At 44.3% G+C, this 14,072-nt stretch overlaps 1 protein-coding gene and 1 non-coding gene across 4 annotated transcripts in view, besides 1 other annotated feature; one reads left to right on the forward strand and one right to left on the reverse strand.

The window, feature by feature from the left end:
• Positions 1–14,072, forward strand: part of PITPNC1 (phosphatidylinositol transfer protein cytoplasmic 1) — a 319,976-nt gene that overhangs the window by 28,643 nt on the left and 277,261 nt on the right. The gene's annotated exons all lie outside the window — the stretch shown is intronic.
• Positions 1,259–2,229: an enhancer, noted in NCBI's record as "H3K27ac-H3K4me1 hESC enhancer chr17:65403298-65404268 (GRCh37/hg19 assembly coordinates)". NCBI's record gives its function as "activates a minimal SCP1, AML or CMV promoter by ChIP-STARR-seq in primed H9 embryonic stem cells {active_cell/tissue: H9 hESC(primed)}" and the evidence as "EXISTENCE:reporter gene assay evidence [ECO:0000049][PMID:30033119]".
• On the reverse strand, positions 1,920–2,023 carry LOC124904124 (small nucleolar RNA U13). Its single transcript, XR_007066002.1, has one exon. It is a non-coding gene; the product is annotated as a small nucleolar RNA U13 (small nucleolar RNA).

The raw sequence follows: 14,072 nt of genomic DNA on the forward strand, positions 1-14,072 counted from the left end.
ATATGTCTCTTCCTGATCCCAGACCTTCTGTACATATGACATTATAGATGATTTAGTCTTCAATAACTTGCTATTTTTTCCTAGTAACTTTTCAAAGAGATATCATTCACATGCCACAAAATTCATTCTTTTAAACAAATGTACAGATCCCTAGTTTTTAGTATATTCTTAAGGTTATGCACCCATCACCACTATTCAATTCTAGAATATTTTCTTTTCCCTTTTTGGAGAATGGGTCTTGCTATGTTGCCGGGCTGGAGTACAGTGGCTTTTCACAGGCGCGATCATCACGCACTACAGCCTTGAACTCCTGGGCTCAAACATTTCTCCTGCCTCAGCCTCCTGAGTAGCTGGATTTCAGGTGTGTGTCACCTTGCTTGGCCAATTCTAGAATATTTTCACTACTCCCAAAAGAAACCTCGTATCCATTGGCGGTCACTCCCCATTTCCCTGTTTCCCCAACCACTGGCAGCTACTAATCTATACTTTCTGTCCTTATGGATTTGCCTATTCTGGACATTTCATGTAAATGGAATCACACAATGTATGGCCTTCATGTTTGGCTTCTTTTGCTTAGCATAATGTTTAATGAAAGGTGTGTGTTGCAGCATGAAGCAGTAAGTACTTCATTCCTTTTCATGGCTTAATTATGTATATATTATATATAGTTTTTTTTTTTTTGAGATAAAGTCTCGCTCTGTCTAGCAGGCTGGAGTCCATTGGTGCGATCTCAGCCCACTGCAGCATCCGCCTCCCAGGTTCAAGCGATCCTCCTGCCTCAGCCTCCCGAGTAGCTGGGATTACAGATGTGTGCCACCATGCCCGGCTAATTTTTGTATTTTTAGTAGAGGCAGGGTTTCACCACGTTGGCAAGGTTGGTCTCAAGCTCCTGGCCTCAGGTGATCCATCCACCTCATCCTCCTAAAGTGCTGGGATTACAGGTGTGAGCCACCATGCCTGGCCTCATGGCTTAATAATATTTGATTGTATGGATATACATATATATTTCGGACATTTGGGTTGTTTCCAGTTTTTGGCTATTATGAACATTCACATACAAGCTTTTATTTAACCACTTGCTTTCAGTTCTTTGGGATATATACCTAGGGGTGGGATTGCTGGGTCATGTGTAATTTTATGTTTAGGTTTTTGAGGAGCTGCCAAACTGGTTTCCACAGTGCCTGCACCGTTTTACATTCCCACCTACAGTGTACGATGGTTCCAATTTCTCTACATCCTGGCCAGCACTGTACTTTCTGTCTTTTTGGTCCTAGCCATTCTAGTAGGTGTGAAGTGGTATCTCATTGTGATTTTGATTTGCATTTCCCTAATGACTAATCATGTTGGAAATCTTTTCATCTACTGGCAATTTGTATATCTTCTTTGAATAAATTTCTGTTCAAATCCTTTGTCTAGTTTTCAGTTGGGTTACATGTCTTCTTTTGTTGAGTTGTAAAACTTCCTTATATGTTCTCGATGCTAGACCCTCATCAAATATTTGATTTGCAAATATTTTCTTCCATTCTGTGGTTTGTCTTTTCACTTTTTCATAGTGACCTTTAAAACACAAAAGTTTTAAATTTAAAAATCTAAAATAAGGCCGACGTGGTGGCTCACGCCTGTAATCCCAGCACTTTGGGGGGCTGAGGTGGGCAGATCACCTGAGGTCAGGAGTTTGAGACCAGCCTGACCAACATGGAGAAACCCCGTCTCTACTAAAAATACAAGATTAGCTGGGTGCGTGTAATCCCAGCTACTTGGGAGGCTGAGGCATCAACCTGAATCGCTTGAACCCAGGAGGCAGAGGTTGCGGTGAGCCGAGATCACGCCATTGCACTCCAGCCTGGGCAACAAGAGCGAAACTCTGTCTCGGAAAAAAAAAAGAAAAACAAAAAAAACTAAAATAAATTATTTTTTTACATCAGATAGGCAATGTGCTGATGTCATAGTAAGGTTTGAGAGCGGCACATCTCAGACATGAGTGTGAAAACCCAATCGCTGTGCTTGTGAACCACAAAAGGATCATAAGTTTTATTTTATTTTATTTTTTGAGACAGAGTCTTGCTCTGTTGCCCAGGCTGGAGTGCAGTGGGGCAATCTCGATTGAACGCAACCTCCGCCTCCCCAGTTCAAGCTATTCTCCTGCCTCAGCCTCCCAGCAGCTGGGATTACAGGCATGCACCGCCACGCCCAGCTAATTTTTTGTATTTTTAGTAGACACAGTTTTACCATGTTGCCCAGGCTGGCCTGGAACTCCTGAGCTCAGGCAGTCCACCCACCTCAGCCTCCCAAAGTACTAGGATTACAAGTGTGAGCCACTGTGCCTGGCCTAGGATCAACATTTTTAAATTTTGATAAAGTTCAGGCCAGGCATGGTGACTCGCCTGAGGTCAGGAGTTTGAGACCAACCAGCCTGGCCAACATGGTGAAACCCCGTCTCTACTAAAAATACAAAAATTAGCCAGGTGTGGTGGTGCATGCCTGTAATCCCAGCTACTCTGGAGGCTGAGGCATGAGAATGACTTGAACCTGGGAGGCAGAGGTTGCAGTGAGCCAAGATCGTGCCACTACACTCCAGCCTGGACGACAGAGTGAGACTCCGTCTCAAAACAAACAAAAAAAAAGTTTTTTGATGAAGTTCAGTGTTTCCCTTCCCTTTCCCTTTCCCTTTTCCTTTCCCTCCCCTCCTCTCCCTTTCACTCTCATTTCCTTTCCTTTCCTTTTCCTCCCTCCCTCCTTGCTTGCTTTCTCTTTCTTCCTTCCTTCCTTCCTTCCTTCCTTCCTTCCTTCCTTCCTTCCTTCCTTCCTTTCTTTCTTTCTCTCTTTCTTTCTTTCTTTCCTTCTTTTTCTTTCTCTAGTCAAATGCAGTAGTAAGAAAGGGGGAAAGAATAGAACAAGTTCAATCTGTAACTCAATGTGAACAATCAATTGAGATAACTCACTACGTTTGGACCAGCCTTCTTTTTTTCTTTTAGTTCCTTGTGCCTTGGTTTAACATCTAAGAAAACATTCCTGAATGCAAGGTCACAAAGATTTATGCCTATGTTTTCTTCTAAGAGTTTTATAGTTTCAGCTCTTACATTTAGGTCTTTGGTCCATTTGGAGTTAATTTTTGCATATGGTGTGGGGTAGGGGTCCAAATTCATTCTTTTTTTTTTTTTTTTTTTTTTTTGAGACGGAGTCTCGCTCTGTCGCCCAGGCCGGACTGCGGACTGCAGTGGCGCAATCTCGGCTCACTGCAAGCTCCGCTTCCCGGGTTCACGCCATTCTCCTGCCTCAGCCTCCCGAGTAGCTGGGACTACAGGCGCCCGCCACCGCGCCCGGCTAATTTTTTGTATTTTTAGTAGAGACGGGGTTTCACCTTGTTAGCCAGGATGGTCTCGATCTCCTGACCTCATGATCCACCCGCCTCGGCCTCCCAAAGTGCTGGGATTACAGGCGTGAGCCACCGCGCCCGGCCCCAAATTCATTCTTATTCATATGGATATCCATTTGTCCCAGCACCATTTGTTGAAAATACATTTTTCCCCATTGTATTGTCTGAATCTTGTTCTTTTTCACTCAACATTTTGATCCTGAAATTGCTGCATATAACTACAAATCATTTCTTTTTTTTTTTTGGTGGTGGTGGCGGGGCGGAGTTTCACTCTTGTTGCCCAGGTTGGAGTGCAGTGGCGTGATCCCAACTCACTGCAACCTCCACCTCTTTGGTTCAAGCGATTCTCCTGTGTCAGCCTCCCAAGTAGCTGGGATTACAAGTGCACGCCACCACGCCCAGCTAATTTTGTATTTTTAGTAGAGGTGGGGTTTCATCATGTTGTCCAGGCTGGTCTCAAACTCCTGACCTCAAATGATCCACTCACCTTGGCCTCCCAAAGTGCTGGGATTACAGGCATGAGCCACTGTGCCTGGCCCACATCATTCATTTCTTTATGGCTAAAAAATAGTATCCTTTGTATAAATCTGCCATGATGTATTTATTTATTCTTTGTTCCATACAGATTGGGTTGTTTCCAGAAGTTGCTATTATGAACACTATTGCTCTGAACTCACTTGAACGTGCGTGCGTGAGTTTCTCTCCAGAGTATGTGCCTAGAAGTGTAGTGTGTGCATGTGTTCTCCAAAGCGATTGTCATACTTATGCTTCTATCAGCGATGTGTCAGAACTACGTTTCAGAAAACAGTTTTAAGCATTCTGTTTGTTCTGTCTCTCATTGAAAAAAGTCATTACTAAAAAGAAACAAGTGGTATTTGCAAGTGAAATTTGCCTTTTAGGCCTCTAATATTTTATTAGCAAGAATTAAATAAGCAAAAGGCCAATAGCTTGAGAACGTAGTATGCAATTAGTATCTCTTTGTTTGATTTATTTTATTTTTTCACAGTGAAGACTTAAGTATCTCTTTACATTTTAAAATATTAATGTGGACCTTAAACAGGTCTTTGGCTGGTTGAGGTAGTGGTTTGTTTGTTTTTGAGACAGGGTCTCACTCTGTCACCCAGGCGGGAGTGCGGTGCAGTGGCGCAATCACAGCTCACTGCAGCTGCGACCTCCCAATCCCGAGTGATCCTCCCACCTCAGCCTCCTGAGTAGCTGGGACCACGGGTGTGCACTGCCATGCCCAGCTAATTTTTTTGATTTTTTTGTAGCGATGAAGTCTCGCTATGTTGCCCAGGCTGGTCTTGAACTCCTGGGCTCAAGCGATCCTCCCACCTTGGCCTCCCAAAGCACTGAGATTGCAGGGGTGAGCCACCAACCGCACGGGCCTGGTGAAGGTTTTTGCTGTTAGTAGGTGAGTCTGCGTGTTAATTAAAGCAACATCACACCAGCCTACTATTGCTCTCTTAACTAGGGTGTGGAGCAAGTATAATAGAGCAGTTGGGCTGCGCTGGGTGGCTCACACCTGTAATCCCAGCACTTTGGGAGGCCGAGGCGGGTGGATCACAAGGTCAGGAGTTCAAGACCAGCCTGGCCAAGTTGGTGAAACCCCGTCTCTACTAAAAATACACAAATTAGCCGGGCGTGGTGTTGGGTGCCTGTAATCCCAGCTACTCGGGAGGCTGAGGCAGAGAACTACTTGAACTCGGGAGGCGGAGGTTGCAGTGAGCCGAGATTGCGCCACTGCACTCCAGCCTGGGTGACAGAGTGAGACTCCCATCTCAAAAAAAAAAAAAAAATAGAGCAGTTTACAGAATTGGGTATGAATGGGAGGTGGGAGTGCTTCCTTTTCTTGGTACCCACCTATTAGCATACAGTGGTTATGCTAAGACAGAATCCTGCCCATAATGATGAGACACCTGCCCTATTTCATGATCTCATTCAATAGTATCATGTGAAAGGGTTGAAGGATGCAGAATTGGGCCAGTAGTGCTCAGAACCTTGAAAGAGTTGGAAATTCTCTCTGGAGTGGGGCAAATCTACAGCTTATAAAGAAAGCGAGTTGTCCTGGAAAGCGCAGCACATAGGTCACCAGGGATGGCCAGCAGGAGGTAAAGAAAGTCTCCTAGAAGGTGGTTGGGCCGGGGAGGTGAGCAGCCTGCCTGGTAGAGAAGCATGTTGGAAAGTGCTCCACCTGGGAGCTGGGGCCCAGGGACAGAATGCCACTTATGAGGCATGAGTGAGGGCAGGAGAAAGGAGGAAGTGACAAGATGCCCCAGGCCTAGGGGAACCTGTGTCCTAGTAGGTCACCAGGCCCTATGTTAAAGAAACGGGAACCTGAAGACCAGAAGGCAACTTGGTGTCAGGAACAAGGTAACGTTATGATTGGTTATCATAACTGGGGCACGAGATCAGAGCTAGATGGACTTGCTCCTTATTCCTCTTACAGAGAGTAATAATGATTTTCATCCTGGGGGTACTTAATAAGGGCTAAGCACTTATGTATATTAATTTGTTTAATCTACACAACAATCCTGGGAAATAGATTCTGTTACTGTTCCTGTGTTACAGGAACTGGGAAACTGAGGCACAGAGAGGGGAGTGGCAGAGCCAGGATTTGAACCCAGATACTCTGGCTCCAGAGTGCAAGCTCCCTTCCCATGGTACTGCACTTCTTCTGGAAAAAGCATGGTTTAGGGAGTCAAACAGGCTTGGTTTCTAATCTTCATTTCAACCTCTTACTATCTTTCTTTTATGACCTTAGGCAAGTCAACGAAATTTTCTGTGACCCACAGTTTCCTTATTTATAAAATAAGAAGCATGAGATTCAGATCACACATGGAAGTGCCTCACCCCTTGCCTGGCCCTCGGTAGGGACTTAGTAAATAGCCATTAATACTACTCCTACAAATAAACCTTTCCAAACTGAGCACAGGACTTGGCCTGGAGCCCGGGGCAGGGTTTAATGTGTGCTGAGGATGGGGTAATTTATCTAGGAGGGATGAGAAACATGGGGGTCAAAATTCCAAGTAGATACTGACAAAACTAGGTGCTGATGGCACAAGCTCCAGGAGCCTTGGAATTAGCCAAGTTCTCCAACTCGACTGGAGACTAGGTTAAAATCTCAAAGACCTCATCCCTCATCCCTGTAATTAGCCTCTTGATTGCCTGTGACCTTACCTTAAATAAGCCCTGATTTAACCTAAAAGAGAAGAAATCAGAACATGACAAGATCTGCTGTTTCATCTTCTTACATATTTCTCTTTCATTTATTTATTTTTTTTGAGACGGAGTTTCGCTCTTGTTGTCCATGCTGGAGTGCAGTGGTGTGATCTCCGCTCACTGCAACCTCCACCTCCCGGGTTCAAGTGATTCTCCTGCCTCAGCCTCCCGAGAAGCTGGGATTACAGGCGCCCACCACCACGCCTGGCTAATTTAGTATTTTTATTAGAGGCGGGGTTTCTCCATGTTGTCCAAGCTGATCTTGAGCTCCTGAGCTCAGGTGATCCTCCCGCTTTGGCCTCCCAAAGTGTTGGGATTACAGGCGTGAGCCACCGCGCCCGGCCTTCATATTTCTCTTTATACTTAACTTCCTTTTTCCTTATCTTTCCCATTTGCAAGTTACTTTCTAGTTCTTATCGATCATTTCCTTATTACTGTTTTTTCCTCCTTAATGAGTTGGTTGCTAGATAATACCTTCGGTGTTTTTGAGAATCTGAGAATGATGGAGGAGAAATGGAAAGATAGGAATAGAAAGAGATTACATTAGGAATTAAATTTCTTGTTCCTCTTTTTCTGATATGAAACCAAATTGGAGGTTAGATCATCCAGAAAGAGAATTCAGTGTTTTCCAGTTTTCCAACCTGCTTGCTCATAAGAATGACTTGGAGTGGTAGATCTTGATTCAGTCGTTCTGAGGATAGCACAAAGAATTTGTATTTTTAGCAAACACTCTCCATGATTATAGTATTATATGGGAATTAAACTTAAACCTTCTTTAAATAAAGCCCCCAAGTTTGACCCATTAGCTCAGCTATAGAATTACTGAATATTTTTAGTATGGCAATACTGTCAAGAAAAAGCACTTTATAATGTGCTTAATTTTCTTTCTTTCTTTCTTTCTTTCTTTCTTTTTGGAAAAGTTTAAGGCTATATAAAAAATAGAGAGAATGGGGCTTCTCGCTATGCTCAGCCTGTGTGTCATCATTACTGTCATGCTGGCCATTGTTCTCTGCTGCTGTGCCCGGGCCCTGAGGCCTCCTTCACCTCTATCCCCACCACCACTATCCAGTCAGTTTGCTGCTGCTTCCGTGGTTCACATGAGGCAGATGAGGAGTTTGATGCATGCTGGGTGACATGCTTCAACAAGCCAGAGATAGATGCCTGGGAATTGCATAAAGAATTGAACACACTTGCTGGCTATGACCTGGTTCCAGAACCCCAAATCATTGATGTTGCTTCGCAGGCATGCAGACAGTTCGATGCTTTTCCTAGGGCAGTTTGCATCCTAGAGGTTGTTAAGGACAAGGCAGGACCTCATAAGAAAATGTCATCCAAGAACTCAGACCAACTTTAAATGAATTGGGAATCCCCACTCCAGAGGACCTAGGCTTAGACAAAGTGTGAACCCCAGGGACAAGCGTTCCAGGGATTTATTGGTATTGCTACTTGATTGTAAACACTCCCCTGGAAATGCTGATGATAACATGTTACCTTATTTGAACACCTTTTTCTTTATTGAATACCAAACCATGTTATGGTAACTTGGACTTTAATAAAAGGGAAATGAGTTTGAACTGAAAAAAAAAAAAATAGAGAGAATGGTGTGTTGGACTCCCATGTACCCTCAACCCAGCCTTATCAGTTTTCAAACCATGGCCAAGTAAGAGGCACTTTTGAAAGAGAACATAGGAGGAGTTACCAAACAGTAAAGGCAGAAATTAAAAGCAACTGTGCCTGCTTTGTTTAGAATACCCAAAACCTGGAAACAATCCAGATGCCCACCAATAGGTGAATGCATCAACCAATTGTGGTATATCTTTTCACTGGAATACTATTCAGCAGTGAAAAGGAAATGAACTATTTATACATACAACATGCAAGAAGTTAAAAATAATTATGCCGAATGAAAAAAGCCCCACCCCCCCATATATACTGTATGCATCTATGCATATAAAATTCTGGAAAACTATACATATGTAAAATTCTAAAGGTCTGCAACCTGCATTCCAAGGGCCAATTCCAGCCCATCACCTCTTCTTGTAAATAAGGTTTTATTGGAACACGGGCACACTCAAGGTATTGCCTATGGATGCTTTTGTGTTACAATGGCAGAGTTGAGTAGTGGCCATATGGTGTGCAAAGCCAAAAATATTTGTCAACCCGCAGGGGTTGAAACAGACAGTAAACAACACAAAATAAATACAAACAGATAGGAATAATGACAAATCACAGTCAATGCCATGTCAATAGAGAATATCTGGGGCAAAGGGGAAGGTCCAGTTGAATTGAAATACTCATCAGTTTCTGAGTGTGTTCTATAGAGTTTTTCTGTCTCTGTGTCTTTGCACATTCTCTCTTTTTTATTTTTATTTTTTGAGACAGGGTCTTGCTCTGTCACCCAGGCTATATAGTGCAGTGGTATGATCTTGGCTCACTGCAACCTCTGCCTCCTGGGTTCAAGCGATTCTCCATCTCAGCCTCCTGAGTAGCTGGAACTACAGGTGTGTGCCACGAGGCCTGGCTAATTTTTGTATTTTTTGTGGAGACAGGGTTTCATCATGTTCACCAGGCTGGTCTCGAACTCCTGAACTCAAGCCATCCACCCTCCTCAGCTTCTCAAAGTGCTGGGATTACAGGCATGAGCTATCATGCCTGACCTCTTTGCACATTCTCTTGATCTGTTATGCTGTTTGTTGCCATCTACTGTTGTCAAATTCTACCTACCCTTCAGGGTCCAACTGAAATGCCACATTACCAGGAAAGGTTTTTCTCATTGTCCCTGCCATACTTCATTTCTCTTCTGCCCTTCTGTAGCTCAGGACCCTCTTTAGGTGTCACTCCCATTAGATTGTAAGTTTCCTAACAAGACGCACGTCATCGTCTCCAAATCCTTTGGGTCAGCACAGCCTCTTTTATATTACCAGTCTAAGCCCCTTTGTGTGACATTTAAAGTCCGCCTGGACTGACTGTTCAGCCTCATCCTCTGCCCTTCCCTTGTGTCCTGGGCTCTGGCCAAATCAAACCACCGTTCCCCAAATGTACTATGTAGTTAACTTTTAATATTGCTTCTTTTTATTGCCTTGGTTCTCTCAAAAATCAGAATTAATGGAATGTTGGCTATTACAATTACGTGGACATGGTTATATAATGGCCTTGGCGATGCCCTTAATAAATGAAATCTAAAATGTTACATTTTTTTTGGAACCCAGAAACTCATTCTAATTTTATTCTGCCTGAGGCTTTATAGCATTTTCTGAAGATCATGTTGTACTCTTCTTTCGTCTAGATGATTTGGTCAACAGTGATAAAGTTCCAACTTAGACTTGATAAATATGCAAGAGTCATGAAATATGAATGAAAACAGTGACTTTTGAAAATCACGCTTACCTAAAAAAAAAAAAATCCTGAGTATGGTTTATATTTACTATGTGTGTAAAAATGTACTGCCATTCTTCATTCTTCTTTGTTCGTTAGGTTGAAGAACAATTGTAAAAATTGAAGGCATGGCACTACCGCCGTTATGTATAGATTAATGTGGAAAATAGCACGTGGCGGGTGGCTAATGACTGGAGTCTTACGGACCCAGGTACTTACTGAAAAATTCACTTAATTTTGGACATAAGACTTGGTCCTTTTTTTGTACATAAATTTAAATCTCCCTTTCCTTGTTTACATGTATTGCTTTTTTTTTTTTTTTTTTTTTTTTTAGACAGAGTCTCGCTCTGTTGTCCATGCTGGAGTGCAGTGGTGCAATCTCGGCTCACTGCAACCACAACCTCCACCTCCCAGGTTCAAGCCGTTCTCCTGCTTCAACCTCCTGAGTAGCTGGGATTATAGGTGCCAGCCACCACGCTTGGCTAATTTTTTTGTTTTTAGTAGAGATGGGATTCCACCATTTTGTCCAGGCTGGTCTCGAACACCTGACCTCAAATGATCCTCCCGCCTCAGCCTCCCAAAGTGCTAGGATTATAAGCGTGAGCCACCGTGTCCAGCCCATGTATTGCTATTTTATTTACAATGGAGCATTGTATATTTTACCCACTGTCAGATGGCAGATGCAGCGTATTTCTGCCTGCATCCCTTGGCCCCCACCTCTTATCCTGGTTCCCAGGTGCAGGGATGCTGTTGCACTGGCATAGGTTCCTGGCATATTTGAGAAGTACAATTTTTGCTGAACCACGTTCCTCTTTTATGCAACTTGGCACCTATGTCACCATTCAAGAACAACTTATATCAACAATCAGTGCCCTTAAAAGGAAATGCTCACAACATTCAGCATTCTCTCTGTCTCTCTTTTTTTCTTTTTTTGAGATGGAGTTTCTCTCTTGTTGCCCAGGCTGGAGTGCAATGGCACAATCTCGGCTCACCGCAACCTCTGCCTCCCAGGTTCAAGCAATTCTCCTGCCTCAGCCTCCCGAGTAGCTGGGATTACAGGCATGCACCACCATGCCCGGCTAATTTTGTATTTTTAGTAGAGACGGGGTTTCTCCATGTTGATCAGACTGGTCTCAAAAACTCCCGACCTCAGGTGATCCGACCGCCTCAGCCTCCCAAAGTGCTGGGATTACAAGTGTGAGCCACCACGCCCGGCCAACATTCAGCATTCTCTTAAAAAAAATTTTTTTTTGAGACATGGTTTTGCTCTTGTCACCCAGGCTGGAGTGCAGTGGCATGATCATAGCTCACTGAAGACTTGAACTCCTGGGCTTGAGTGATCCTCCTGCCTCAGCCTAGTAGCTAGGACTACAGGGACATGCCACCATGCTTGGCTAATTTTTTACATTGTTTTGTAGAGACAGGTCTTGCTATGTTTGCCCAGGCTGGTCTCGAACTCCTGGCCTCAAGCGATCCTCCTGCCTCGGCCTCCCAAAGTGCTGAGATTACAGGTGTGAGCAGCCACACCAGGTCCACATTCAGCACCCTCTTGATTCTTGAGCCCACCATGGTGTCAGCAAGGAAAGAGAGGCAGAGGTAATTTAACCTACATATAATTTCTTGGTTGCCAGCCTCCCTGAGTCTTCTCCATTGTCCTTCAGATCTGTAGTGTTTAAAGGCCTGAATTGAATCTCTTGTATTTTCTGTAAAATTCTGATATTCTCTGCTGTGCATCATATTTATATTTGCACAGCTCTTAAGTTATTTCTCAATCAGCTGCCTCCCAGTAGCACACCTTTGCAGCTGGCACCATTGAAAAGGTTTCCCTCAGACATGGGAGCTCTGACTGCTTGAAGTCAATGGGGGCTGGGTGCGGTGGCTCCTGTCTGTAATCCCAGCACTTTGGGAGGCTGAGGCAGGAGGTTCTCTTGAGCCCAGGAGTTTGAGACCAGCATGGACAACATGGTGAGACCCTGTCTCTACAAAAAATAAAAAAAATTAGCTGGGAGTGGTGGCACACATCTGTAGTCCCACCTACTTGGGAGGCTGAGATGGGAGGATCACTTGAGCCCAGGAGGTCCAGGCTGCAGTGGACGTCCAGCCACTGTACTCTAGCCTGGGTGACAGAGCAAGACCCTGTCTGGAAGAAAAAAAGTCAATGGAACAAGGCAGCGTATTGAAATATTCTTTCCTTGGGAAATGTATGTCATAAATCCTTTTACCAACAGATGATTTGGATCTTTAAGGCTCCCAGGCACATGACTTTATTCTCAGGAGATGGTTAGGCAGTAGATTAAGATCTGCTTATTGCCTTGAGACTATATAAAGCTCCCAATACCTATTTTTATTGGAGACCAAATTTCTAACTTGTTCAATTGGTCTGCTTATGGCAGTGCTGCTCTCCCAGTCATGGGAGAAGACAGTTTTACATTTAAATGGAATATTCTAACTTTGCTTAGTAAGTAAATACTGACCCAAAGATAAACAATGGGAGAAAATGGAATTTCAGTGTTTCATGCAAAAAGTTCCTATCACAAGGGAATCGCAGTTTTCATTCTTTGGGTAGGTAGGTAGATTTCTCCATGTTCTGTGAAACTGTGTTGTTGCGGGGAAGGAAGCAAAAGAACAAATCAATAGCTGAGGATGGGGGCATATTAGGAATTTTTTTTTTTCTTTTTGAGATGGAGTTTTGCTCTGTCACCCAGGCTGGAGTGCAGTGGTATGTCTTGTCTCGGCTCACTGCAACCTCCACCTCCTGGGTTCTAGCTATTCTCCTGCCTCAGCCTCCCGAGTAGCTGGAATTACAGGCCCCCACCATCACGCCAGGCTAATTTTTGTATTTTTAGTAGGGATGGGGTTTCACCATGTTGGCCAGGCTGGTCTCGAACTCCTGACCTCAGGTGATTCACCTGCCTCGGCCTCCCAAACTGCCGGGATTACAGGCGTGAGCCACTCTGCCTGGCCGTGAGCCACCCCACCGGGCCTGAATTTTGCTTAATAGAATCATGATGAAAATGAATGCGCTTGACCAGAGAAAATGGACACTTGTGATGACTTGGGTAGTGTTCAGAAATCACTCAGCCTGTGAGAACTTTGTGCTTCTTAGGTTTGGCTTGATATTACAAAGCTACCACTGGTTACTTTTATGAAAGCTCCCCAGGTAAGGGGCAGAGGACAGCAACCTGTTGGTCCAGATTAACATTCAGTGGTATTAAGCAGAGACTGTGGCTTTCAACTATAAGTAAAAGCATGCTTGGGGGAGAAGGAGGAAGGGAGAAAAAAAAAAATGAGAAAGCAGAAAGATGCAACAGGGGTTGGCAAAGAGTCAGGAGCAGGGAGTGAGGGGGAAAGTAGGTACATGTGGTGGAGAAATGGAAGCTCTCCCAATGGTTCCATCAGTTCCACCACACTGGCACAGATTCTAGAAGTTTCCTATTTCTGGAGTAGGACGCAGACATGATGCATTTCCTACTAAGACAGATTTCTATCCAGGAAACATCATTTCAAGTTGCAGTGCCAGGCTCGAGGATCCTTCTCCGTCATTGCTTCAAGTGTGGTGGGTTCAGTACCTCCTTTAATGTAAGAGCTGGCCCGTCTTCCCTACCTACTTGGGACACTTTCTAGTTTTGACCTTAAGTAGGGTATCAGGAAAATTCCGAGAAAGGGAAGACACTCTTTTTCCTGAATTACAGAATAGACCAACTCATTAGAAAAAATAAATTAAAGAGGCCAGGCGCAGTGGCTCAAGCGTATGATCCCAGCACTTTGGGAGGCCGACGCAGGCGGATAACTTGAGGTCAGGAGTTCGAGACCAGCTTGGCCAACATGGCGAAACCCCGTCTCTACTAAAAATACAAAAATTAGTCGGGTATGGTGGCAAGCACCTGTAATCCTAGCTACTCGGGAGGCTGAGGCAGAAGAATTGCTTAAACCCGGGAGGTGGAAGTTGCAGTGAGCCGAGACTGTGCCGCTGCACTCCAGCCTGAGTGAGGCTGGAGACCCAGAGCAAGACCCTGTCTCAAAAAAAAAAAGAGAGAGAGAGAGAAAACCAGAACCCCTTTGTTTCAAAACCATCCACATCTGTCTATCCATCCGTAAA

This window comes from Homo sapiens, chromosome 17, assembly GCF_000001405.40.
Source record: "Homo sapiens chromosome 17, GRCh38.p14 Primary Assembly".
NCBI lineage: Eukaryota > Metazoa > Chordata > Mammalia > Primates > Hominidae > Homo > Homo sapiens.